The following is a 26439-nucleotide window of genomic DNA, read 5'->3' as shown; positions in this document are numbered from 1 at the left end:
GGGACGGGGCCTCCGGCACTCCCATTCCTCTGCCTCTGTCCCCCGGCTTCCTCTAGGCCCGAGAAACGTGACAACAACTGGAGGTACGATCCTCGCTTCACGGGGAGTTTTGACGATGACCCCGATCCGCACAGAGACCCTTATGGGGAAGAGGTGGACCGGCGCAGCGTCCACAGCGAGCACTCGGCACGGAGCCTGCACAGCGCACACAGCCTGGCCAGCCGCCGCAGCAGCCTCAGCTCCCACTCGCACCAGGTACGCGGCGGCGCCTCACAGACACGCGGACGGTTGTGTTTAGAACCACCATCCTGTTTGCAATGTACCTAAAGTTTTACTGCTGTGCCTGGGGAATTGATTTTGCCCGTTTGCTTTGTTTTCTAAGAGTCAGATTTACAGAAGCCACAATGTGGCTGCCGGTTCCTACGAGGCCCCGCTTCCTCCAGGCTCCTTTCACGGCGATTTTGCCTACGGCACCTACCGCAGCAATTTCAGCAGTGGCCCCGGCTTCCCAGAGTATGGCTACCCTGCCGACACCGTCTGGCCTGCCATGGAGCAAGGTGTGTGCTCAGCAGGACAGAGGGATACCGGCTAACCCCACTGGGGCGGCCACCCAGCCTGGCATCTGAACACGGGAGTCAGGGCTGGGATTGGAATTGTGATGTCCTGGCCTGGCTCTGACCCAATCCGTCCTTCCGAGAAGCAGGGTGTGTCAGGACGGGCCGATGCTGTCTCTTCGATTGCAGTTTGGTTTAAGGCCTGAGAGCTGCCCTGCCTGCCCCGACATGCGTTTTAAAGTGTGACTCTGAGGACAGCTCATATCCAGGCTCTGGGCAGCCCCTGATCACATCCCCATCGCAGACCCCGTGGCTCAGCAGGCGTGCAGGAGGGAGCTGCTCATTCCCCTTGGAGACTCCGCTCCTGCAGTTGTCCCGCGTGTCAGTCAGAGTTCCCTTCCAGGATGCTCAAATGCTTTTTCTTGGCAAATTGCAGAAATATACGTAAAGATATAAAGTTACAGAATTTAATGGTAGGCTGAGTTTTTTTGTTTGTTTGTTTTTTGGTTTTTTTGAGATGGAGTCTCACTCTGTCTCCCAGGCTGGAGTGCAGTGATGTGATCTTGGCTCACTGCAACTTCTGCATCTCGGGTTCAAACGATTCTCCTGCCTCAGCCTCCTGAGTAGTTGAGATTACAGGTGTTTGCCACCATGCACAGCTAATTTTTGTATTTTTAGTAGAGATGGGGTTTTGCCATGTTGGCCAGGCTGGTCTCAAACTCCTGACCTCAAGTGATCCATCCTCCTCGGTCTCCCAAAATGCTTGGATTAGAGTGTGAGTCACTGTGCCCGGCCTTACTTTCTTAAAGTATTGTTTCAGTTAACATTTTTTCATTTCTTTTTTTTTAAGAGACAGAGTCTCACTCTGTCACCCAGGCTGGAGTGCAGTGGCACGGTCATGGTCTCTGTCTCCTGGGTTCAGGTGGCCCTCCTGCCTTGGATCCTTTCAAAGTGCTGGGATTACAGGCATGCACCACTATGCCTGGCTCCTTATTTTCTTTTTTGCTTGAGGTGTTTTGCTGTCCTTTTTGCTGGGTGCTGTGTGGTCATCGCAGTCTGAATTTGATTTTGTGAAAATGGAAGAGCTCGGGAGTGGGCCAGGCCTGGGAGGATTACGCACCGTGGCAGGAGCCTCAGGGCGGCTCATGAGGGTGTTGCGGGAGCTTTCTCAGTGTACAAGGGAACAGCTTTCATGCTTAATGATTCAGACATTTTTCTTTTCCTGACGTATGCTGAAGTTCTACTTTTAAGTATGATATTAAACAATTACCGACTTTTGAGTTGGAAGTCTGTCGTGATAAATCTAACCTGTGATTTAAGCTGTGTGAGCACATTGAAAATCTAGGCTCAGAAGCATCAGTGACAAGCTGATTGTTTCTTTTTCAATTTATTTTAAATGCAGTTTCATCAAGACCAACTTCTCCTGAAAAATTTTCAGTGCCTCATGTCTGTGCCAGGTTTGGCCCTGGCGGTCAGCTTATCAAAGTGATTCCCAATCTGCCTTCAGAAGGACAGCCGGCCTTGGTGGAGGTCCACAGCATGGAGGTAATGGCACACGCAGAAGCGTGGCGTCACTGCTCTGCTGCCCTGGGGAACTCTCTGCTTTGCAGTTTGTCATCTTCAATTGTCAGACCTTGTCTCTGGACATACGTCCTTGGAAAATGTTTATTCCTGTGAATTTTCAATTTGTAGGGTTTTTCTTCTATTTGATCATATATTTTTCCTCCTAGAAGTCAGTATTGTAAGCGTCTGCCTTGGGTGTTCAACGTGGTTTGATTGTATATGCATTTTCTGTCCTCGTTTTGGGGATGTTTGCTTTATTGGTGCTTTTCAATGATAGATGCAGTGGGTGGGCCCGGTGCTGCCCAGGTGAGGGGGGCGGGTGGGGTGGACGTGCACGGCGCTGCCGAGGTGACGGGGGCTGGCATGCGCCTCTTCCTGCAGCTTCTGCAGGCTTCTGTCACATGTATTGGGGTTCTGCCTCAGTATTTGGGGAGAGAAAATGGATTTCACTACTTAAAATAAAGTTTGAAATCATGGCTGTGGTCCACACAGGCCATGTTCCATGTAACAGCCTCGACAGAGCCTTCACCTGCTGTGGGGCGGGGCAGGTGGGCCATGCCATCCTCTCCTCTCACGGGCAGCATCCGTGCCTGGGTTGGCCGGCCTGCCAGCAGGGTGGCTGCGCACTGGCTGCCACTGACCCACGGCCCTCTCCTCGTAGGCCTTGCTGCAGCACACGTCTGAGCAGGAGGAGATGCGGGCGTTCCCGGGACCCCTGGCCAAGTATGTTCCTTGTTGAGGCATTTCTTTGTGAGCCCGGCCTTGCAGACATCACTGCTCACTGTGTGTTCTTTCTGCAGAGACGACACCCATAAGGTGGATGTCATTAATTTTGCACAGAACAAAGCTATGAAATGTTTGCAGAATGAAAACTTAATTGACAAAGAGTCTGCAAGTCTTCTTTGGAATTTTATTGTTCTCTTATGCAGACAAAATGGGGTATGTTTCTTTCTACTTCTAGAGTGTTTCTTCTTGCTGGTCTTCATTTCGTCTTGGGAATGCTCAGCCTCCCGAAGGAGCAGGGCGGGATCCGCGTGGCCAGCTATGGGAGCCTCGAGGGCCCCCTTAGGAAGCACACTGTAGTGGCTGGGTAGGGAGGGAGAGGGAACGTGCGGTTGGGATGGGATGAGGTTTCAGCCCAGCCTTGCCAGCCTTTCGGGTAGTTGTGGGTCTGGCTGTGTCCAGGGTGGGGCTTTGTGCCTGTGGTGGTCCAACGCGTCCTCACCTGAGAGCCGTTGTTCTCCTTCCTGTTCCTGTTGACCCAAACAGACCGTGGTAGGGACCGACATTGCGGAGCTTCTGTTACGAGACCACAGAACAGTGTGGCTTCCTGGGAAGTCGCCCAATGAAGCAAACCTGATTGATTTCACGAATGAGGCAGTGGAGCAGGTGGAAGAGGAGGAGTCTGGTGAGGCCCAGCTCTCTTTCCTCACTGGTGGTCCGGCGGCTGCCGCCAGCTCGCTCGAGAGAGAGACCGAGAGGTTCAGGGAGCTGTTGCTGTATGGCCGTAAGAAGGTGCGCCTCCTCATCATGGCACCTGGCGCCTGCACATGTCCACTGGGTCGGGCCTGGTGCGGGGTTGCAGCCTTCAGGGAGGGACGTGGCCCCCTCTTGGGAGCATCCGCGCTGCAGTGTGGGGCTTCGGGTCTTGCTGTTTCCTGAACAATGCCTGACTCTTGTATGCCATCCTTCTGGAGGTGTTAATGTTGGTTTCCTTCTAACTGTTTCCAGTGTTGGAGACCTGCAGATTAAATTTTCAGTTATTCGATAAATGCACATGTTGAGCACAGGCCGTGCCCCTGCTGTGTGTGCCAAATCTCGGATGAAATGTGCATGACACAAGTTGTGGCATTCTCACAAAGTCAGACTCGAGTCCACAGCCCAGAAGTCATTGGGAGTTGGGAGGGCACACTGAACCTGTCAGAGGCGCAGTGCATGGAAAGGCCATGGGCAAGAGAGCAGCCAGTGCGTGTAGCGTCCAGTGACTGGGGTCACAGCAGCGTGGGGACTGGGGCAGGTGGGGGGCCTGAGACAGGAGCCTGCTCTGGGACAGTGGGGTTGGGGGGTCCATAGTGACTGCAGCAGTGACACTATGTGCACAGGAGGGGCTGTCTAGGGTGCATGATGTTTGCTTTGGATGTGCTAAGCAGGAGAGAGGCCAGTCTCAGAAGCATGTGTGGCCCTGAACAGCAGAGACATGGGATAGGCTGAGAGTTTTCTGTCCTTTTATATCATGATAAACTCAGAAAGGGCATATTTGACCAGTATTTTTATTTTTTTATTTTTAATTTTTTTTGAGACAGGGTCTCACTCTTGCCCAGGCTGGAGTGCAGTGGCGTGATCACAGCTTAATGTGGCCTCGACCTCCTGGGTTCAAGTGATCCTCCCATCTCAGCCTCCTGAGTAGCTGGGACTACAGCTGCATGCCACCACGCCTGGCTAACTTTTTTTTTTTTTTTGTAGAGACGGGGTTTCACCATGTTGCCAGGCTGGTCTCGAATTCCTGGGCTCAAGCAATCCGCCCACCTTGGCCTCCCAAAGTGCTGGGATTATAGGCATGAGCCACCGCGCCCGGCCTGATCAGTATGAGTCTATTATGGATGTTTTATAACTGATTGAAGTCATGTAACCTGTTAGCTTTTATTAACATCTTTCTCTACTGTAACGTTTTTGCCTCCCAGCCAGAAGTTCTAAATTATGCCCTGGATGATTTTGGTGAAAGGGGAGGCTGCCTTACTGGAGTCACTCTCCGTGTTGACAGGATATTCGCGGAGGCCTCCTGTTAGAACTGGGGAGTTGACTCGAGCGTGTTTCCCAGTGGATGGGGCGGCGTGGTGGGCAGCGCTGCGTGATTAGCCCTGTTTGTGATTAGCGTGCTTGTGTTTTATGCTGAAAATGGATAAAAGCAGCAAATATCTACAAATACCCACTACCACAGGGACTTTGAAACTCAGGAAAATAATGAATCGCTACGTGTCTTTAGTCTCCAAATGGTGAATAAGTGTGTTTTTGAGGCCTTTGGGTTGTTTGTGTATCTGCTGCTGCGTGAGGACACATGGCCTGTCTTGACTCATGTCACGTGAGCGCCGCCGATAACCCACCAAGGTCCCTGAAATGCCTTTTGCAGGATGCTTTGGAGTCTGCAATGAAGAATGGCCTGTGGGGTCACGCTCTGCTACTTGCAAGTAAGATGGACAGCCGGACACACGCCCGAGTCATGACCAGGTACAGTCCCACAGTGGCCTGGTCCAGTGGCGAGCCCTGCTGGCTCCCTGTAGCACGCGGCGTCCGCACCCTGGGGGCAGGCGGCAGGCGGATCTCACTTGACTGTGCTGTGCTCCCACACGAACTCGGGCTTCCTTGGCCTCGAGGCTTCCTTGGGTCGTGTTGTGGAGAGCTTAAAAAGTTTTTAATTAACTGCATGGTTTTTAGTACTTCATGTAAAATCTCAGTGAATTCCTCAGTCTTCATCTTTTATAGCTTTTTTTAAATTTTGAGTTTTGCTCTGTTGCCCAGGCTGAAGTGCAGGGGCGCGATCTCAGCTCACCGCAACCCCTGCCTCCCAGGTTCAAGTGATCCTCACGCCTTGGCCTCCCAAGTAGTTGAGACCACAGGCACCCACCACCACACCCAGCTAATTTTTTGTATTTTTAGTAGAGGTGGGTTTTGCCATGTTGGCCAGGCCGGTCTCAAAACTCCTAGCCTCAAGGGATCTGCCCGCCTTGGCCTTCTGAAAGTGCTGGGATTACAGGCGTGAGCCACCATACCTGGCCTTATCTTTTACAGCTTTTTTTTTTTTTTTAATATTGAGATAAGAAAGAAAAATAAAATATTGAGATGTGTGTACTTTGCCTAAGTGAAATATAAGTCTAATCATTACATCAGAGGGCTTAGGGCTGATTTTTTAAAAAATTTATTTTATTACTATTTTATTTATTTATTTTTTTGAGACAGAGTCTTGCTCTGTCACCCAGGCTAGAGTGCAGTGGCACGATCCCAGCTCACTGCAACCTCTGCCTCCTGGGTTCAAGCGATTCTCCTGCCTCAGTCTCCTGAGTAGCTGGGATTATAGGTGTGCACCACCACACCCGGCTAATTTTTGTATTTTTAGTAGAGATGGGGTTTCTCCATGTTAGTCTCTTAACTTCTGACCTCAGGTGATCCGCCCACTTTGGCCTCCCAAAGTGCTGGGATTACAGGCGTGAGCCATCATGTCCGGCCGGCTTTTTTCTTTTAGCTGAGCCAGCATGGGGTCTTTCTGTGTTTATGTCTGCCTAGGTTTGCTAACAGCCTCCCAATCAACGACCCTCTGCAGACAGTCTACCAGCTCATGTCCGGACGGATGCCTGCCGCGTCCACGGTGAGTGGCACTGCCTGGTGGCTTGCACAGGCTCCACTGCCTGTGTGGAGTTTGCTCGTGGGTGACGCTGTCACAGGCCGTGAGGTGCCTGGTGAGCCCAGCTGTGTGGAATTGAAATGGCGCTGGCTTCCGGGGATGAGGCTTCGTTTTGTTTTTCCTCATGTTAGTGCTGTGGAGACGAGAAATGGGGAGATTGGAGGCCGCACCTCGCCATGGTCTTGTCCAACTTGAACAACAACATGGACGTCGAGTCCAGGACGATGGCTACCATGGGCGACACTCTGGGTAGGTCAGGGGTGGAGATGGGCATTGGGTGTCGCGGATGGAGCGCCGAAGGCCCGGTTGTCTGTGGCGTTGGCAGAAATCACCAGAACCCGGCCTTCTCGGTCCGGCTGGCGTCTCTGGTGCCTTCTGTGCGCGTCCTTGACTTCTGCAAGCGCTCCCGGTCGCTGAGCCCCCGCCGTGTGTCGTGTCGTCTCTCCGCAGCTTCAAGGGGCCTCTTGGATGCGGCCCACTTCTGCTACCTCATGGCCCAGGCGGGATTTGGTGTTTACACGAAGAAAACTACAAAGCTTGTCTTAATCGGATCCAATCACAGGTAAAGAACCAAGTCAGTGTAGTCCTGTAAGTTTTCCTTTCAAAGTAAAACAAAATCCTTCTCCTTTAGTGAATTCAGAAATGGCCAGAATCATGTCTTTATTTGTCACGTGGTGGGACACACTTCTGGATGATTTGCTCCAAGGTTGACTATGCCAATAATTGGCCATTTTTTCCAAATCAAAATAATTCACTTCCTCTACAGTTTGCCATTCTTAAAGTTCGCAACCAACGAAGCAATCCAGAGGACGGAAGCCTATGAGTACGCCCAGTCCCTGGGTGCCGAGACCTGCCCCCTGCCTAGTTTCCAGGTAAGCAGGTGCTGCCAGCCTGCAGCTGTCATGGCTGGGCAGGCACTCAGTGCTAACAAGCTTTTGGCTACTTAGATTGTTTGAATTGGTATCGAAAAAAATGATGTGAGTTTTTTGGGGGAGGATCTTGAGAAGACATTTGATCTAAAATGCTAAGAAACAAGATCCCATTGAATTGAGGCTTTCCGTTTGCATTTGATTTCAATTATTTTCATGAGCTTTTTTTTTAAGGGAGACAGGGTCTCACTCTGTTGCCCAGGCTGGAGTGCACTGTTTTGATCACTCCCAGGCTCAAGTGATTCACCTCAGCCTCCAGAGTAGCTGGGACTACAAGCAGCACTACCATGCCACACTAATTTTTTTTATTTTTTGTAGAAAAAAACTGTGTTGCCCAGACTGATCCTAAACTCCTGGGCTCAAGCAGTCATCCTCTCAGCCTCCCAGAGTGTTGGGATTACAGGCGTGAGCCACCGCACCTAGCCTGTATGAGCTTTTTTTTTTTTTTTGAGACCGAGTCTCGCTCTGTCACCCAGACTAGAGTGCAGTGGCACGATCTCCGCTCACTGCAAGCTCTGCTTTCTGAGTTCACGCCATTCTCCTTCCTCAGCCTCCCGAGTAGCTGGGACTACAGGCACCCACGACCACGCCCGGCTAATTTTTTGTATTTTTAGTAGAGATGGGGTTTCACCGTGTTAGCCAGGATGGTCTTGATCTCCTGACCTTGTGATCTGCCCACCTCAGCCTCCCAAAGTGTTGGGATGACAGGCGTGAGCCACCGCGCCCAGCCGTACGAGCTATTTTTAATATTTGAGGGCGGTATTCTCTGATGCAGTGTGGGGGTGGTGTCTATAAAACATACATGAGAGGCTGAGCATGGCGGCTCATGCCTGTAATCCCAGCACTTTAGGAGGCCAAGGTGGGTGGATTACCTAAGCTCAGGAATTAGAGACCAGCCTGGGCAACATAATAACACCCTGTCTCTACAAAAAAAAAAAAAAAAAAATACAAAAATTAGCCAGGCGTGGCAGCATGCACCTGTGTTCCCAGCCACTCGGAGGCTGAGGTGGGAGGACTGCTTGAGCCCAGGAGATTGAGGCTGCAGTGAGCTGTGATTGTGCCACTGCACTCCAGACTGGGTGACAAAGTGAGACCCTGTCAAAAAAAATAAAAAAGAATGAAGTATCTAGAGAATGTCTGTGGAGCAGCTTAAGCTACACGGAAGGCAGTGGTCTCAGTGCCGTGCTCTTGGGGCGTTGTGACTGTGAGAGCCGAGTGGCCCCATGAAAGGGGTTGGGGGGAAAGCAGAGTGAGTTTGCTACCAGCTTAGTCGTTTACTTTGCTCTTGAAATCCCTTGGGGAACAGGGACTAGGACTGTGGTCAGCGGGCGTGGTGGGTGGGAGACGATGATGAGTGAAGTGTCCAGAAGAGTTCACAGCTCACAGGGCGATGCTCGGATGCAGGGGAGCCTCAGGGCAGTACAAGGCTTTGTCCATCGGCGATGCTCGGACGCGGGGGAGCCGCAGGGCAGCAAGGCTTCTGTCGTTTCAGGTGTTTAAGTTCATCTACTCCTGCCGCCTGGCGGAAATGGGGCTGGCCACGCAAGCCTTCCACTACTGTGAGGCCATCGCGAAGAGCATCCTGACGCAGCCGCACCTGTATTCCCCGGTGTTGATCAGCCAGCTTGTGCAGGTGCTGCCCCTGGCGCCTGTCCTCGGGATGCTGTGCTGACTGCAGGGAAGGAGGGCTTGCCAGAGCCCCCGGGCATGGGGGTAGCGATGGTTCAGACGCGCATTGTGGTAGGCGCTCAGAACCTGCCTCTTGGGCGGATAAAGATCTTTGAATGGCTTCGTGTTTTGCGTCTTAGCCTGGGAACTCTCAGGCACCGTGTGCCAGCACAGAGCCTTGGCAGCGAGTTTCACAATCAGAAGGAACTACCTGTAGGATACTCTTCTTTTATTGAGACGCAGTCTCACTCTGTCACCCAGGCTGGAGTGCAGTGTGGTGCAATCTCGGCTCAATGCAACCTCCGCCTCCCAGATTCAAGTGATGCTCCTGCCTCAGCCTCCCAAGTAGCTGGGATTACAGGCGCCTGCCACCACGCTTGGCCAATTTTTTGTATTTTTAGTAGAGATGGGGTTTCACCATGTTGGCCAGGCTGGTCTCGAACTCTTGACCTCAAGTGATGCATGCATCTGCCTTGGCCTCCCAAAGTGCTGGGATTACAGGCGTGAGCCACCACGCCCGGCCAGGATATTCTTATTTTGAGGCAATTTAGTCTGGTGGTTGATAGCTTAAGTGTCCAGAGTCCAGCAGCCTTTGCTTGAGTCCTGGCTGTACTGCTGCAGGCCTCAGTTTCTTCGCCTGTAAAACAGAGGCGGCATGACTGACGAGAGTATGGGAGGCGCCCGTGTTGCATCAGGATCTTCACCTCTTGTCAGTAGTTCCATTTGTGAGAACGTGCTCATGGGATACCCAAAAACTGTATTAGGGACATTTTTAGACCCATTTCAAAGTTCAGAGAGTCATTCATGCATGCGTCCTTAGGTGCTCATCCCCCACCTTAGTGGTTACGAACACAGGGCCAAACTTGTGTTCTGCCCCCTCTGTCCCGCTCTGCATCCCCCAAATTCCCGATGAAAGCATGCAGACATTCCTGGGGGAGTCCAGCTTTTGCTGAGTCAGGTCCACGTGGTCAGGTGGTAGTCTCGGGCCAGGCCTGTTCCAGGGGGGTGCCTAGCACTGCCAACCCAGTGCCCGTGGGCCAAGAGGTCGTCTACAGCAACTTCCCAGTCACCCAGCGTCCCATGTGCTGTGTATGTCACCTAAGCACATACTAGAAACATATAGGCAGCTAATTAAACTTTATTGCCAGTGAACACTGAAGCTGCATTGCCCGGCATTTTGAAGACGGCTCACTTGCCATCACCCGGTGGTGACAGGGGCCTTTGATTTTTGCCCGTGTCTAGATGGCTTCCCAGTTACGACTCTTCGATCCCCAGCTGAAAGAGAAGCCAGAAGAGGAGTCCTTGGCCGCACCCACGTGGCTGGTTCACCTGCAGCAGGTGGAGCGGCAGATTAAGGTACAGCCTTGGCTTGGGGTGGCACAGAGGCGTCTGGCAAGGTGGCTTCTGTCCCTGTCATTTCCACACTGAAAGTATGTATCTGTAAAGACAGTGTAACTGCAAACGTGTGCCTATGAGAATTCCCTAATTCCCCAGAAAGGGCTTTGAGTGCCTCCTGTCCTGAAGTAGGGACACAGCAAGCGCGGTGGTGGCAGGCGGGCAGCGCTGCAGAGCGGCCACAGGCGGCTTCCACAGGGCAGGTCTTGTTCTCCCTCAGGAGGGGGCTGGAGTATGGCATCAGGATGGAGCCCTCCCGCAGCAGTGTCCTGGCACTCCGAGTTCCGAGATGGAGCAGTTGGACAGGCCAGGACTCAGTCAGCCAGGAGCCCTGGGGATCGCCAACCCTCTGCTGGCGGTGCCTGCACCGAGCCCTGAGCACTCGAGCCCGAGCGTGCGGCTGCTGCCCTCAGGTGAGCCCAGGTGCGCGGCTGCTGCCCTCAGACAAGCCCCTGCTTCCTGTGGGCTGAGCCATGGCCTGCACCCTTGCCTCCTGGAGAACTGCTTTCAGATGTGGACTGTTGGAGGCAGTGTCTCACACCACCTCGGTGGTTGTGGGGCTCCTCGGTCTCCTCCCTCTTCCCTTCATGCTTCCTCCCCTGAGGAGCCCATGGAGGGGAGGCTCATGGCTTTCCATGTCCATAAATATCCATGTGCTGGCGACACTGCCCTGAGCGCCCGCTGCCTGCTCAGCCTCCCTGCTTGTTTCTCCGGGAGCCTCAGCCGCACCGTGTCTGGGCGGCGCCCTCGGCTGTGCCCCTCTGTAACCTGCTTCTCCCAGTCGGCCCCGTCGGTGGAAGGGCCAGCCCAGAGCTCCAGGGAGTCAAGTCCAGATGCCCCCTCCTCTCTCGCGCTTCTCGGCTTCCTTCGTCAGTGAACCTCACCAGCGCGGCCTGCACGCAGGTCCGCATGCCTGGATGAGCACGGGCTCCTTCCTGCTCGCCTCCTGCTTCTTCCCCAGACCCTCCAGACTCTCCATCTCACCTGAGGACAAGCCAGGGTCCTCACGGTGGCCACAGGCCCTCCAAGCTTGGCCCTGAGCCCTCCTGCCCTCGTGCCATGTCCACTCCCACGCTGTGGACCAGCCACACTCCTGATTTGGGCCCACTGCCCACCCTCCCTGCCTGATGTCCAGTCTGCTTCGTCCTCAGACACCGTTACCACTTCCTGGTTGATTGCTGTCCTTAGCGCTTTCTCTTACTCAGTTCATCTGTCCCGACCCCCATGAGGACCCAGCATTTCTTTTGTTGTTGAAGCATCCAGGGCCCAGCATGGTGCTGGTAGGCAGCAGCCCTCTCAGGTTTTATGTTGAGTCGGAAGAATGAAGGAATGAACGAGTGGCCTGTGTGACCCCTGGCCGTGGAGGAGGGGACTCGGGCCTAGCAGAGCTCTGTGCCAGGCGGCCGCCATGGGCTTGCGTGTGGGCCGGGCCCTGGAGCCCGCGTGCCGCTGTGACTGCTCAAGTGCCCCTCCCCTAGAAAAGGAAGCGGATACTCTGCTTTTCTGCAAACCACGGATGGTGCGGTGGGGTGGTGGCTTCAGGCTTTCTGCTCTGTTGGACCTCCCTTATAAAAGAAATGGGGCTGTACAAAATAACTTGTCATAAACACGTCGAGTGTCAGCTCCTTCCAGTAACTCAAGCTACCCTCAGTAACCCCAGACCTCTTCTCCACCGTTCCCATGCAGCTCCGCAGACGCTCCCTGACGGCCCATTGGCCAGTCCTGCCAGAGTGCCGATGTTCCCAGTGCCACTGCCCCCGGGGCCCCTGGAGCCGGGTCCTGGCTGTGTGACCCCAGGGCCTGCACTTGGCTTCCTGGAGCCCTCCGGGCCTGGCCTCCCACCTGGTGTGCCACCTCTGCAGGAAAGGAGACACTTGCTCCAGGAAGCCAGGAGCCCAGACCCAGGTGGGGCTGCAGAGATGCTGTCTCGAGAGCAGAAGCAGCATGGGGTGTGGTGTTTGTGGGGATTGGTGGAAGAGATTGAAGTTATTTGAGCTTGAAACAACTTACATTACTTGTCTTAACGTAGACCAGAAATTCTGGAAGTTACAGACTGGATGGGTTCAGAGTCTCACTACAACAGCAGTGTTAATGCCAGTTCCTTTTGTAACTTGGCTTTTTGTTGTGAAGCTTAAATGGCCATTTGGGGCAGGGCATGGTGGCCATGGGTCTCCTGGGGTCTGTCTTTAGACGGCCCTGCTGGACGCCTGGTGAGATGCACAGGGGCAGGTCATGAACTGTCTGGAACTCGATTTGGTGGATCTTGTCCCTGGTCTGTGCCTATGTCTACATGTGTGTATATGGACAAAGCAAAACATAGGCCTAGTTTTAAAAATGAAAGAGTGTGCACACATGTGGGAAGATGTTCAGCCTTGGTTTCTGCAGATCATGCTGGTGTGGCGGTAGCTGGGTGGGAAGGTGGTGTGCCTGTTGATCTGTGCGCCACACACACGTCCCGCCTTCTCGTGACTGAGATCATAGTTGCTCTCTTTCCCGTTGACAGGGATAGTGCCGCAGGAGGCGCCTGTTGGAAACTCACTTTCCGAGCTAAGCGAAGAAAATTTTGATGGAAAATTTGCTAATCTGGTACTTTGTCACATTTTCTTAAACTGTTTGTTTTCCATAAAGTTCATCGAGTGGGCACCCAGACTCCTTGTTGAGTTGTAAGATGATGGTAGTGAGGACTATGAAATTGTTTCTAAAATTGTTTCTTAAAGTGAAAGTGCTTCTAAATAGCTTTCATCCTTAAAATATGAAGAGTTGGTGAAAACACTGGCAGGGAAAGATGGGGAAGAGAGAATTCAGTAGTGTAAAAACAGTTACTTTAAGTAGAAGAAATACCCAAATATCATGAAATCCCCTTATTAATTTTAATTCTTCCAAAATGGGTACCTTCTCTGATTTCTACATCTCTTTTTCTTTTTTTTTTCTTTTTTTTTTTTTTGAGACAGATTCTTGCTCTGTCGCCCAGGCTTGAGTGCAGTGGTGCGATCTCGGCTCACTGCAACCTCCACCTCCTGGGTTCAAGCAGTTCTGTGCCTCAGCCTCACAAGTAGCTGGGACTACAGGTGTGTGCCACCATGCCCGGCTAGTTTTTGTATTTTTAGTAGAGATGGGGTTTCACCATGTTGGCCAGGCTGGTCTTAAACTCCTGACCTCATGATCTACCCGCCTCAGCCTCCCAAAGTGCTGGGATTACAGGTGTGATCCACCAAGCCTGGCCTTTTTTTTTTTTTTTTTTTTTCCCTAAGACATAGTTTCGCTCTGTCGCCTAGGCTGGAATGCAGTGGCGCCATCTTGGCCACTGCAACCTCCGCCTCCCAGGTTCAAGTGATTCTCCAGCCTCAGCCTCCCAAGTAGCTGGGACTACAGGCATGTGCCACCATGCCTGGCTAATTTTTTGTATTTTTTGGTAGAGACAGGGTTTCGCCATGTTGGCCAGGCTAGTCTCGAACTCCTGACCTCAAGTGATCTGCCTGCCTCAGCCTCCCAAAGTGCTGGGATTAAGGTGTGAACCACTGCACCTGGCCATCTCTTTTTTTTTTTTTTTTTTTTTTTTTTTTTGAGATGGAGTTTCTCTCTGTCGCCCAGCCTGGAGTGCAGTGGTGCGATCTTGGCTCACTGCATCCTCTGCCTCCCAGGTTTAAGCAATTCTCTGCCTCAGCCTCCTGAGTAGCTGGGACTACAGGCGCCCACCACCACACCCAGCTCATTTTTTTTTGTATTTTTAGTAGAGATGGGGTTTCACCATCTTGGCCAGGCTGATCTTGAACTCCTGACCTCATGATCCACCTGCCTCAGCCTCCCAAAGTGCTGGGATTACAGGCATGAGCCACCCCGCCCAGCCCGGCCGTCTCTTTTTCTACAGTAGAATTTCTTTTCTAATTTTTTGATCTCACAAGAGGATGTCCTGGAATTCAGTAGAATTTCTAACATTGTCACTGGTTTTCCTGAAAGTGAGATTTATCTCATTAGACATGTTTGGTATAAATACCTCCTCTGTTTGCTCTACTCCTAACCAGGAGGGATGGTTGCTTTTATACAGACCGCATTCTGGAACCTTCTTTACAGATACCCAGCCCTTCACGGGCATCCCATCAGTAGGCGATTGCTATAGTTTGAACTTGCATTAGGTGTTTTACCCTTTAAAATACTGTGTCCCTGGAAAAGTAAAAATGAGGGTTGAGCTATTAAAAATTGGGACTTGACCCAGGAATAAATATTTTTAAAAATCATTGTATCTTTGAGAACACCCATCGCCCCCCTCTGGCCAGTCTTCCCTCAGTGCATGCTCACACTCCGTTTCTTCCAGCCCGGAATCTCCATCGAACGCCCTCATTTGCATTCTGAGTGCTGAGTGCTCCCAGACGGAGCTGCTTATTAAGTGCGGCTGGCTCTTCTCTAGTCAGGCCAGGTAGAGGCTCTGGGAGGCCCAGTCAGGGGGCTGCTCTCCCCAGCCCCCTTCCTGCCTCCCTCTGGTCACCAGAGTCATCCGGCCTCTCAGTGATGTATTTAGGAAACACGCCTGGGGAATTGCATCCCCCTCTCTCTTTCGGTTCCTGTGAGGAGCCCCAGGAGAGCCTGTTCTGCATTTCCTTGCGACAGACCCCCTCGAGGACGGTGCCAGACTCGGAGGCCCCCCCAGGGTGGGATCGTGCCGACTCGGGTCCCACGCAGCCACCTCTGTCTCTCTCACCCGCTCCCGAAACAAAGAGACCCGGACAGGCAGCCAAGAAAGAAACGAAGGAACCTAAGAAGGTAGTACAGCCTGCCCACGGTGCGCCTGGCGGCCGGGAGGGTTTGGGCAGGAGGCACGCTTCCCAGAGCGCCATCCTCTTAATTCACCACACATGCAAATAGCCTCCTGATACAAACAGCCGAGTGTCTACAGTGCACACGGCATGATGGGTGTCTGTGTATTTGTGCCTTCAGATAATAGGATAATAGCCCACCCAGGTCAGCATGGGGACACAGCCCGGCCCCCAGAGGTCGCCTCTGGCCACTACCTGTCAGACCCACCCGCAAGGGACCAGACGGCAGCCGCTGCTTTGTCACTGTGGTGTGTGCCTGCTGCCGGCTCACAGATCCTTTCTCCCAGCCGTGGACTTTGGGACTGCTTTCAGTGTGGGGCTGGGATCCGTCAGGCCCCAGGAGCCTCCTTGCCTATCTATTGGCGAATGCGCTTGTTTTTCTTAGGTGCGTGCCAAGGAGCTGAGGGTTTAGCTCGCAGGATGAGCGTGTGTTCAGCTTTAGGAGACACTGCTGAGCAGTTGTCCTAAATGGTTGGTTGCCCCAAGTCACACATCCTGCAGCAGAGGACAAGGGCCCTGGATATCCCTCATCTTCACCAATACTGGGCAGTGCCGGTTCTTTAACTTAGCCATTGTGCTGGGGCTGATGACATCTCATTGTGTCTTCCTCTGCATCTCCACAGCGAGGTGTGACGCTGGGCACCTTCTCGTGTCCCTGTTACCATCTCACCACTCTTTTGGGGCAGTGCTTGTTCAAGTCTCTATCCGTTGTTTTTTTTTTCCCCCATAAAGATGGGGTCTCACTATTGCCCAGGCTGGTCTCAAACTCCTGGGCCCAAGTGATCCTCCTGCCTCGTAGCTGGGACTGCAGGTGTAGCCACCACACCTGGCTTTCCTTTCCATTTTTAATGGTGTTCTCTTCAGGACTTGCAGGAGTCCTTTCTGTATTATGGATATAAGTCCTCTGTTAGGTGTATTTATTGTGATATCTTCTCCCAATCTGTAGATTGCCTTTTTACTTGTAATGGTTTTTTGTTTGTTTGTTTGTTTGTTTGTTTTGAGACAGGGTCTCACTCTGTCAGCCAGGCTGGAGTGCATTGGCATGATCTTGGCTCACTGCAACCTCCGCCTCCCAGGTTCAAGCAATTCTCCTGCCTCAGCCTCTCCAGTAGCTGGGATTACAGGTGCCCACCCCACTCCCAGCTAATTTTTTGTATTTTTAGTAGAGATGGGGTTTCACCATGTTGGCCAGGCTGGTCTCAAACTCCTGACCTCAAGTGATCTGCCTGCCTTGGCCTCCCAAAGTACTGGGATTACAGGTGTGAGCCACCATGCCCGGCCTAGTAATGGTATTTTATGAAAAATATCATTCTTCATTTTAATAAAGTTCAGTGATCAGATTTTTCTTTTATGGCTGCTGTCTTGAAAATAAACACACATTTAATTCCAAATTTGTGTGAGCTCTGAGATAAAACATGATACTTGAGCAGGTTTCCAGTGCATAGGCTATCACAGGCCTCCCCGGGACAGCTTGTCTGGCCAGTAGAACTCACAGAGAAACAGAATTGAGGGTGTGTAGTAGCTGCTGAGGCTTCTCCTCTTTCTTCAGTAGAAGTGAAGTGCATCAGGCCGGGCATGGCGGCTCACACCTGTCACCCCAGCACTCTGGGAGGCCGGGCGCAGCAGCTCCTGCCTGTCACCCCAGCATTCTGGGAGTCAGGGTGCGGCGGCTCACGCCTGTCACCCCAGCACTCTGGGATGCTGAGGCGAGCAGATCATGAGGTCAGGAGTTCACGATCAGCGTGGCCAAGATGGTGAAACCCCATCTCTACTAAAAATACAAAAATTAGCCATGCATGGTGGTGGGTGCCTGTAATCCCAGCTACTCAGGAGGTTGAGGCATAGAACTACTTGAACCCGGGAGGCAGAGGTTGCAGTGCGCCGAGATCGCGCCATTGCACTCCAGCCTGGGGGACAGAGCGAGACTCTGTCTCAGAAAACTAACAAACCAAAATGAAGTGCATCATGTGAAGAATAAAGTAAAGTTTCCTAATAACCGAATTCTCCACACATGGGAAACACAGAGGGCTGTATCTGCCTCCGACACACACTGACTTGGACAGCCCGCCTTCCACTTCTCAAAGGGGAGGACGTCGGAAGCTTTGTCAGTGTTTAGACGTAAAAAGTTCCTGAAGGCACGTTACTGTTCTGACCTATTTAAATGACAGTAAAATACACAGAACAAAATGCACATTTTTACCATTTTCTGAGTGCACAGTTCTGTGGCACCAAGTACATTCACACTGTTGTGTTGCCATCACCACCATCCATCTCCAGAACTGTCTCACCTTCCCAAACAGAAACTCTGTCTCCTTGAAACGAAACAACTCCCGGTTCCCTCCCACCTCCATCCTCCTGGTGTCTCTGGATCTGCTTCCCACCTCCATCCTCCTGGTGTCTCTGTGGATCTGCTCCCCACCTCCATCCTCCTGGTGTCTCTGTGGATCTGCCCCCCACCTCCATCCTCCTGGTGTCTCTGTGGATCTGCCCCCGACCTCCATTCTCCTGGTGTCTCTGGATCTGCTCCCCACCTCCATCCTCCTGGTGTCTCTGTGGATCTGCTCCCCACCTCCATCCTCCTGGTGTGTCTGGATCTGCTCCCCACCTCCATCCTGGTGTCTCTATGGATCTGCTCCCCACCTCCATCCTCCTGGCGTCTCTGTGGATCTGCTCCCACCTCCATCCTCCTGGTGTCTCTGTGGATCTGCCCCCCACCTCCATCCTCCTGGTGTCTCTGTGGATCTGCTCCCACCTCCATCCTCCTGGTGTCTCTGTGGATCGCCCCCCACCTCCATCCTCCTGGTGTCTCTGTGGATCGCCCCCCACCTCCATCCTCCTGGTGTCTCTGTGGATCTGCTCCCCACCTCCATCCTCCTGGTGTCTCTGTGGATCTGCTCCCACCTCCATTCTCCTGGTGTCTCTGTGGATCTGGCGACTCTGGGGCCTCACAGAAGTGGGTCATGTAGAATTTGTCTTTTTGCCCTGGCTTATTTCATGGAACATAATGTTTTCAAAGTTGTTCTCGTGTTTTTTATATTTAGGGTGAATCCTGGTTCTTTCGTTGGCTACCTGGAAAGAAAAAGACAGAAGCTTATTTGCCAGATGACAAGAACAAATCGGTGAGTGCTGTCAAATACGCACGGGACGTCCGAAGAATTGTAATGATTTTTCTGTCACTTTCAGAGCAGACCTGAGTAGGTGTTTCCTGAAGTTTTGAAGTGTCATCATTAATCAGATGCTAATTCTGTTTAGGTTCAGTCTGCTGACCTTTTTTCTTTTTAAAATCTTGGCAGATTGTTTGGGATGAAAAGAAAAACCAGTGGGTGAATTTAAATGAGCCAGAAGAGGAGGTAAATTGTCATTCTAGTTCCTGTTGGGTGTGAGGTGTGAGTGGAGGGAACAGCCTCATGTGGCCCTGTGATATTTGGGTGGCTGTTGCCCCTTTTGGAGCCTCCTGACTGTGCCATCCCAGTGGGTTTCTGTGCACACAGTGGGTGTCTGAAGCTGTGTTTCCCTCTGCAGAAGAAAGCCCCGCCCCCACCTCCAACCTCGATGCCCAAGACTGTGCAAGCTGCCCCGCCTGCCCTCCCAGGGCCTCCTGGAGCCCCCGTGAACATGTACTCTAGAAGAGCAGGTAAGGGTGGCCTTGGAGTGGGAGCTTGCTTGAACGATTAACTGTCCCAGAGAGAGAGGCCAATGTGTAGCTGTTGTGCGTGGGGAGGAGGTGGCTTCCCGCACGTCCCTGCGTGCTTTTCCTCTGACGCAGTGAGCGCAGAGCATTTGGAAGCTGGAGGCCACCTGGCGCGTTCACCTCAATTTGCTTCCCTCCCCTTTGCAGCAGGAACCAGAGCTCGCTACGTTGACGTCCTGAACCCAAGCGGGACCCAGCGGAGCGAGCCGGCTCTCGCTCCTGCGGACTTTGTCGCTCCACTCGCGCCACTCCCAATTCCTTCTAACTTGTTCGTGCCAACCCCAGGTAGGTAGCACGAGCACCAGCCCCTCCAGGTCAGCCCCCAGTCTCCTGACCTTTGATCCTCTTTCTATGAGTCTCTCCTAAATCTCCCGTTAAAAGAATGACCTGGCCAGCATGCAGAGAGCCTGGGGTTGGTTTGTGGTTTTTTTTTTGATTTGCCTGTTTCTGCATGAGTGTGCCGCGTGTGCAGTGTGAAACTCTCTTCCTCTCGGAGTGTCTTCAGTGAGACCCCAGGGACGTTCGGGACGGAATGATGGCCTCCTCGCTCTCTCATCCCCAGATGCAGAAGAACCACAGCTTCCAGACGGGACTGGCAGGGAAGGGCCTGCAGCAGCTAGGGGCCTGGCCAATCCAGAGCCTGCCCCAGAGCCCAAGGTGAGCGGGTACGGTGGGAAAGGGGAAAGGTACCCAGTGAGGAGGCACCTCCCCATCCTGCCAGACAGGGCCTTGCCTTCTGCAAGTCAGTATCCAATGTGTACGTAGAGTGTTCCGCCTTAAACGCCTCACACTTATGTATGGTAGAGACGGAAGGTAGAATGCAGGGTGCCGGGCGGGACAGAGCTGTTTGGGAAGACGGAGATCTGGGGATAGTGGCGGTGATGGTTGCTCAGCACGGTGAATGTGCTTAAAACTTAAAAATGATTAAAGTGGCAAATTTTACAGTATGTATATTTTACAATTTTTAAAATTGGAAAAAGTAAAATTAATTACTCTAAGTTACAGAGAAATTACCTACCGATAATAAAAGTTAAGTATATTTTCATCCAAAAAAAAAAAACAAAAAACAAATGACTCCCATGTGAAGTAGAACAGCTCAGACCAGTCGGGAGTGGTGGATGATGCCTGTAATCCCAGCTCTTTGGGAGGCTGAGCTGGGCGGGTCACCTGAGGTCAGGAGTTCGAGACCAGCCTGGCCAACATGGTGAAACCCCATCTCTACTAAAAAAAAAACAAAATTTACCTGGGTGTGGTGGCGGGTGCCTGTAATCCCAGCTACTCAGAAGGCTGAGGCAGAAGAATCGCTTGGACCCAGGAGGCAGAGGTTGCAGTGAGCTGAGATTGCGCCATTGCACTCCATCCCGGGCAACAGAGCCAGACTCCATCTCAAAAAAAAAAAAAAAAAAACCAGCTCAGACTGCACTCTGTACGGTGGGACAGGCCTGGGCCTAATCCTGTTCTCCATTCATCAGCTGTGTAAAGCATGGGGCAGTCACTCACCTGTCTAAGCCTCAGTTTTCCCCTCTGTAAAATGGGAATAACAGTAGCCCCAGATTGCAAGCCTGTCATGGGCACACACAGGCACCTGGTAGAGAGCTGCAGGGGTCTAGAGTCAACAGGGTTGTGCGGCTGGACCCACGTGTGAGGCACTTTTCACTTCTCTCTGAGGAGCACTTTACGTGGAAGAGGGCGTTTGTAACCCAGGCCAGAACAGTTTCATATTTTTTGGCCTGGTGTGAGAGACTTAAATTCCCTGGGATTTGGTTGCTGCAATTCTTCTTTTCCTCGGCAGGTTTTAAGCTCTGCAGCGTCACTCCCTGGCTCTGAACTCCCCTCCTCCAGGCCTGAGGGTTCCCAGGGAGGAGAGGTAAGGAGTGCCGACGCCAGGGCCCCCCGCAGCCCAGGCCTCCCCAGCAGCTCACTGTCCAGGCGCCTCTTCCTTTATGGAGGGGCGGTACTGGGTAGGAAGAGGCAGTTTAGAAACAAGAGCACCTCGAAGGTGGTGTTCCTGGGGGAAAAAAAATTGCACTTGTTTTAACAAAACTGTTTGGGAGCTCCAGGAGGGGTGCAGGGGGTTTGAGTTGTCGCCTCAGTCCCGGTCCTCTCCCTTCAACAGCACGGGAATTGTCTTGAATTGTGAGGTGTCAGGAGGTGAAGCTGGCTTAGGCCGAGGCTGGACTTTTCCTCCCAGCCCTCCCCTAAGCTAATGGTTGTTTCGGGATAACAGCTTTACATTAAGACAGGAATCTTAAGCTAACACTGGCTTTTTTTTCCCTTTTGAGTTATGTTGATTCTAATGGCATCACAAAGCTTTTGAAATGGAACTGACAGCTTGGATTGGACAGTGACGTGCATGTTGACTTTCGTCCGTGTTTTATGTGTGTTCTTGCTGTTTTGTAGCTTTCGCGCTGTAGTTCAATGAGTTCATTATCACGTGAAGTGAGCCAGCATTTTAATCAGGTACCTGCGGCTGGTGGTCCTCACTAACATGAGAGCTGGCGTGTGCCGCCTGTGTTCCTGAGCACGCGGTGCCGGTTCGCCACGTGCGCTTTGCCACTAACCTCGCCCGTTGTCTCCCTCAGCGTCACGTGACCAAGGGTACAGGGTTCCTTTTTTTTTTTTTTTTTTTTTTGAGACGGAGTTTCGCTCTTGTTGCCCAGGCTGGAATGCAATGGTGTGATCTCAGCTCACCGCCACCTCCACCTCCTGGGTTCAAGCCATCCTCCTGTCTCGGCCTTCCTGAGTAGCTGGGATTACAGGCATGAGCCACCACGCCCAGCTAATTTTGTATTTTTAGTAGAGACGGGGTTTCTCCATGTTGGTCAGGCTGGTCCCAACCTCAGGTGATCCGCCCGCCTCAGCCTCCCAAAGTGCTGAGATTACAGCAGTGTTCCTTTAAATGGCCTTAAAGGGGGTTTTGCTGTTCAGTCTCCACATACATGGGGCAACTGGATCGACCCTGAGGTGTCCTAGTCAATGAGTGGGTTCTGTCATTTTGCTCTTTCCAAATTGGTTTTTCCAATGACGGGCCTGGGTCGTGGCCTCGCCGAGTGAGTGTTTCCCCGGTCAGGATGCTCTCCTTTGGAAGGAAGATTGCTCCTTTCTGATCAAGCATGAGAACGTTGGTTTGAGGCCGGGGCGGGTGCAGCAGTGACCTGCGGCCAATGTGGGAGGGAGGTGAACGAACGCTTCATCTTCTGCCTGTCCAGGCACCAGCTGCAGCCGTGGCTCAGCAGAAAGGCTTGCAGCGACCCTTCCGCCTGCAAATGAGAGCCCTGGGCCTCGTGTCATGGCTGGAGCCTTAGAGCTGCAGCCGTGGGCACCTCCTCACCACCTCGCACGCTCGGTGCCACCTCAGTGCTGTGTGCACCTTCCCATTGCATGTTCCGGTGCTTAAAACATTGGCTCTGCACGTTGCTTTGATTTTCACCATTTTTCTCTGAACCATTAAATAACTAAATCCAGTGTTGCAAGAAGTGTCTTGGATCTGCTTCTGTAGCTTATGTAAAAGTACTGTAAATCCCACCCAGAAGCGGTGTCTGTATCTGCACTTGAAGTGACAGCTGCTGTGCAGCGCAGCCCTGCTGAGGTGACTTCTCTGTGCTTCTCAGGCTCCTGGCGACCTCCCTGCTGCAGGGGGCCCTCCCAGCGGGGCCATGCCCTTCTACAACCCTGCTCAGCTGGCACAGGTGAGTGACTCCTACCTTTCCCTACGAGACCCTAACACGCCCACTGACGACCTGACCCTGCTGCTCAGTGATGGCAGCTTTCTGCCCTAGATCCTCTTTTTCTTTCTTTTTAAAAAATATATTTATTTATTTATTGAGACAGGGTCTTGCTCTGTTGCCCAGGCTGGAGTGCAGTGGTGCGATCTCTGATCTCAGCTCACTGCAGCCATAACTTCCTGGGCTGAAGCAATCCTCCTGCCTCAGCCTCCTGAGTAGCTGGGACTACAGGCATGGTCAGCACACCTGGCAAATTTTTTATGTTTTGTAGAGACGGTCTCACCTTGTTGCCTAGGCTGGTCTTGAACTACTAGGCTCAAGCGATCTTCCCACCTCGGCTTCCCAAGGCACTGGGATTACAGGCTTGAGCCACCGTGCCCAGCTTCTCTTTTCTGAATGAAAGTTGCACACCTACTGGGTGGCAGTCCACAGGGCACTGTGAGGAGCCAGGCTGGGCCCTCCCCGGCTGCCATTTCTCCCTTTGTGTGGACACCAGGCCCACCGTGCTCAGCTCTGCGTGGACACCAGGCCCGCCGTGCTCCCGTGTGGAGCTCTGTCGACACGAGGCCCTCCGTGCTCCTGTATTCGCTTTGCCTTTTCCTAGGTTGTAGTTTGTAAAATGTGCTTGGCTTTCTACTTGTGTATCCCTCATTCAGCCCCCAGCTCTGCCACGTCTGCTATTCTGTTCTCCTGGAGCCCGTGGTCTCTGAGCCGAGCGTGATCTCTCCTCCCTTGGCCCGGGCACCCGGGTCTCCCCGGAGTGGGTCCCCCAGCTTTGGAATCCTATGTTGCTGCCTTTCTTAGTTACTCTGTTTGTCTTGGTGACACACATCCTCTGGTAGCTCTTGCTTTTTTTGTATGTTTTTTATTTCTTTTTCCTAATAGCTTCTTGACAGAAAGGTCCCAGGGTGACTTGGGAGATGCCTTTCACGTCTGGAGCTGCCTTTCTCCTCCGGCCTATCTGGCTGGCTGGTAGAATTCTTGGGCCAAAGTCACTTTCTTCAGAACTGCAAGTGGCCTTAGGTTTCCTGCTGCCTGTGGTTGCTGAGACCCCAGGGCCGTTCTGCCTGCAGCCCCTTTCAGGGTCCGTTTCCCTGGGACCTGGAGGGCTTCACCCTCAGCCCCCTTGGGCCTGACTGCATGCCCTTCAGCTGGGGAGTGTTCTAGAATGTTTCCTGTGGTTTCCCTCCCTCAGCCTCGTCTCTCCTCCCCTCTCCCTTGCCTGTGGAGTATAGACTGGCTGCCAGTGTAGGGGAGCTGAGCGGGGTCCAAGGTCTGGGGCCTCTTGGGATTCAGCCCCATTGTCACCCCAGCCTGCCCTCACAGCCTCACACACTCTTGACTGCAGGCTTCCTGGGCTGGGGCCCAGCACTCCTGCCCTGGTCCTCTACAAACGAGGCCGAGGCTCCCAGGACCACTGCCCCCAAGCTGGCCCCTGGCTGTCACCTGCTTTTCAGCATCCAGACTAGTCGATTTTGGTATTGTCCTGCTCCCTTTACCATGTGGTTAGTGCCTTTACAAAAATTCCTTGGCTTTCCCCTCCATGAGGCTTTGCGAGGGAGCAAGAGTGGATGCCTGCATTGGCCAGCTGTCTGCAACTGAGGTCCCCGCGTCCCATGCAGTAGGCCAGGCCTGGCCACCACTTGTCCCTGGACTCTGGACAGCCAGGCTGGCTCTGCAGAGCAGCTCCAGGTCTCATGGCCCTGATGAAACCACGGCACCTCCTGGCCACCCTCACAGTAAACATTGATGGTTAAGGATACAGTGCTTTCAAGGGAGCCCAGGACTTGGCACTGACTTGTCGGTTTCCAGAGGCTTTTGGAAACAAAAACGAAGCCTTCAGCTTGTCAGCGCCAATGGCCCGTGTGGTTCATTATGTGGACCAGCCCCTGCCACGCTGCAGCCGAGCACTGCTCACCCTGGGGGCAGGCATGCAGAGGTCATGCTGTTGATTTCATTCCAGGCCTGCGCCACCTCCGGGAGCTCAAGGCTAGGGAGGATTGGCCAGAGGAAGCACCTGGTGCTGAACTAGGCTTGCCCTGCTGTGAACTTGCACTTGGAGCCCTGACGCTGCTGTTCTCCCCGAAGAACCCGACCGACCTCCGCGATCTCCGTCCCGCCCCCAGGGAGACACAGCAGTGACTCAGAGCTGGTCGCACACTGTGCCTCCCTCCTCACCGCCCATCGTAATGAATTATTTTGAAAATTAATTCCACCATCCTTTCAGATTCTGGATGGAAAGACTGAATCTTTGACTCAGAATTGTTTGCCGAAAAGAATGATGTGACTTTCTTAGTCATTTAGGATGATTTAAGGATATAGTATTCCTGGTCATTTAAGAATGTTCATTCATTGAAGCCGGAGCTGTCTCTGCCACAGGAGAGCCACATGGTCGGTAGTAACCAGGGCCTCTCCAAGCCCAGCTGTGAGTCACTGCCCAGTGAGTCCCGCGCTTCCTTTAAGGTGCTGGGAGCAAAGAGAGGGTGACTGAGGCAGACCCCAACCCCTGCTCTGCACCATCTGGGCCCTCGCCGTGTTTGAACCTGGCTGAATGAGTGGAGGGCGCTGTGTTCTCAATCAGCGCCTCCGAGGAGCCGTGGGGTTCCTTCGGCATTAGTTCACGGTTTTTGAGAGAGGCCTTAGTTACTGCAGTGAATTTCTTTCCTGTTGCAAAGACGCTTCCAGCCTCACTTTACTTTCTGTGGCCTGATGAGGACCATGGGTGATTTTGTGTACCCAAAGCGCTGGGGACTGCCCACCGTGTGGCCCAGTCACTGGGAAGGAGCCCCAGAGAGCCGGCTGTCTGACATGATGGCTCAGGGTGGTCATCCAGGTTGAAAACTGACCGTGTGATGTTTGATTTGGGCTTCATTTCGTGTGTAGGAGCACGGTTAGACTCACTGTTAAGGAAGCTGGATGCACTTCTCTAAAAGGCTGCACTTTCCGTGAGCACTTTTCGTGGTACAATCCACATGACCCACTTTCTCCCCTGGGGGACGTTGGTTCAGAGGTTGGTAGCACTTGGGGAGAGTATCTTAACACAGTTTCTTGACAGCAGCTCTGGAACTTAGTATTTCTGCCCCGAGTTTTGCCACACTGAGACTTTGAGTAGCTCCTGGTGGACTCAACCCTGTTCAACTCAGAGACGGGCCTCCTCTCACTGATGCAAAGCTTTAAGGCTTCTCTGACTGTTCTGAAACTCTTCGTATTCTTGTCAAGTCTAAAGAGACTGAAGAAAAGATTTAAATACTAATAAAAATCAGTAGATAATTTCTGTAGGTTCTGCTGGAGGAATACAAACTGTTTGGTGTTTTAAATTTAAGTGTAGAAATTGTAGAATGTGGAATTAGCACAGATCCTTCCTGGCTTTCTGTTTCACTTGATCATTTAGCCCAGACCACCCAGGATGTTTTCCAAAATGTTCCACAGGCGTGTCCCGCTGGATCCATTTGTCCTTGTCACTTGGAGAAAGGCCAGTCCCTGTGACGGGGCAGCCCTCTCTGTCCCTCGGTCAGCTCGTGTGAATCCTGGGACCTCTTCCGGTCGGCTCTGCCCGCTGTTCTGGGGTCGACTGCCACGACTTTTGATTCAAGAAGCTTCCTCCAGGCGGGAGCGGCTATTTTTCCTAAATGAGAATTGTTACATTGCAAATTGTTGAATAAAATATTTTGCGCTCCTTCAAGCACCTTCACCTGTGGTTCCCTTTG

At 52.6% G+C, this 26439-nt stretch overlaps 1 protein-coding gene across 52 annotated transcripts in view, besides 1 other annotated feature; it reads left to right on the top strand.

The window, feature by feature from the left end:
• SEC16A (SEC16 homolog A, endoplasmic reticulum export factor) overlaps positions 1-26414 on the top strand; it is a 44636-nt gene extending 18222 nt beyond the window's left edge. For 5 of the 52 annotated variants that reach the window (XM_047424244.1, XM_047424229.1, XM_047424256.1 and 2 more), the window contains 26 exons: positions 57-255; positions 383-557; positions 1957-2099; positions 2779-2840; positions 2918-3056; positions 3387-3632; positions 5245-5342; positions 6396-6477; positions 6645-6762; positions 6964-7075; positions 7280-7385; positions 8935-9075; positions 10353-10466; positions 10726-10918; positions 12192-12410; positions 13009-13091; positions 15111-15263; positions 18358-18435; positions 18610-18666; positions 18839-18950; positions 19155-19292; positions 19570-19664; positions 20800-20874; positions 21408-21467; positions 22619-22696; positions 24696-26414. In XM_047424244.1, the coding sequence (XP_047280200.1) occupies positions 57-255; positions 383-557; positions 1957-2099; positions 2779-2840; positions 2918-3056; positions 3387-3632; positions 5245-5342; positions 6396-6477; positions 6645-6762; positions 6964-7075; positions 7280-7385; positions 8935-9075; positions 10353-10466; positions 10726-10918; positions 12192-12410; positions 13009-13091; positions 15111-15263; positions 18358-18435; positions 18610-18666; positions 18839-18950; positions 19155-19292; positions 19570-19664; positions 20800-20874; positions 21408-21467; positions 22619-22696; positions 24696-24764 (3145 nt within the window). In that variant the 3' untranslated portion in view covers positions 24765-26414. Of the gene's footprint in view, positions 1-56; positions 256-382; positions 558-1956; positions 2100-2778; positions 2841-2917; positions 3057-3386; positions 3633-5244; positions 5343-6395; positions 6478-6644; positions 6763-6963; positions 7076-7279; positions 7386-8934; positions 9076-10352; positions 10467-10725; positions 10919-12191; positions 12411-13008; positions 13092-15110; positions 15264-18357; positions 18436-18609; positions 18667-18838; positions 18951-19154; positions 19293-19503; positions 19665-20799; positions 20875-21407; positions 21468-22618; positions 22697-24280 lie in introns of all 52 variants that reach the window. The other 47 variants (XM_047424242.1, NM_001438154.1, NM_001438155.1 and 44 more) reach the window with 18 other exon arrangements.
• Positions 17673-18872: an enhancer, noted in NCBI's record as "MED14-independent group 3 enhancer chr9:139342099-139343298 (GRCh37/hg19 assembly coordinates)". NCBI's record gives its function as "activates an origin of replication core promoter dependent on BRD2, BRD4, P300/CBP and CDK7 cofactors, and independent of MED14, by STARR-seq in HCT116 cells {active_cell/tissue: HCT116}" and the evidence as "EXISTENCE:reporter gene assay evidence [ECO:0000049][PMID:35650434]".

This window comes from Homo sapiens, chromosome 9 (genome assembly GCF_000001405.40).
Source record: "Homo sapiens chromosome 9, GRCh38.p14 Primary Assembly".
NCBI lineage: Eukaryota > Metazoa > Chordata > Mammalia > Primates > Hominidae > Homo > Homo sapiens.
This window is presented reverse-complemented; position numbering and strand designations above follow the sequence as displayed.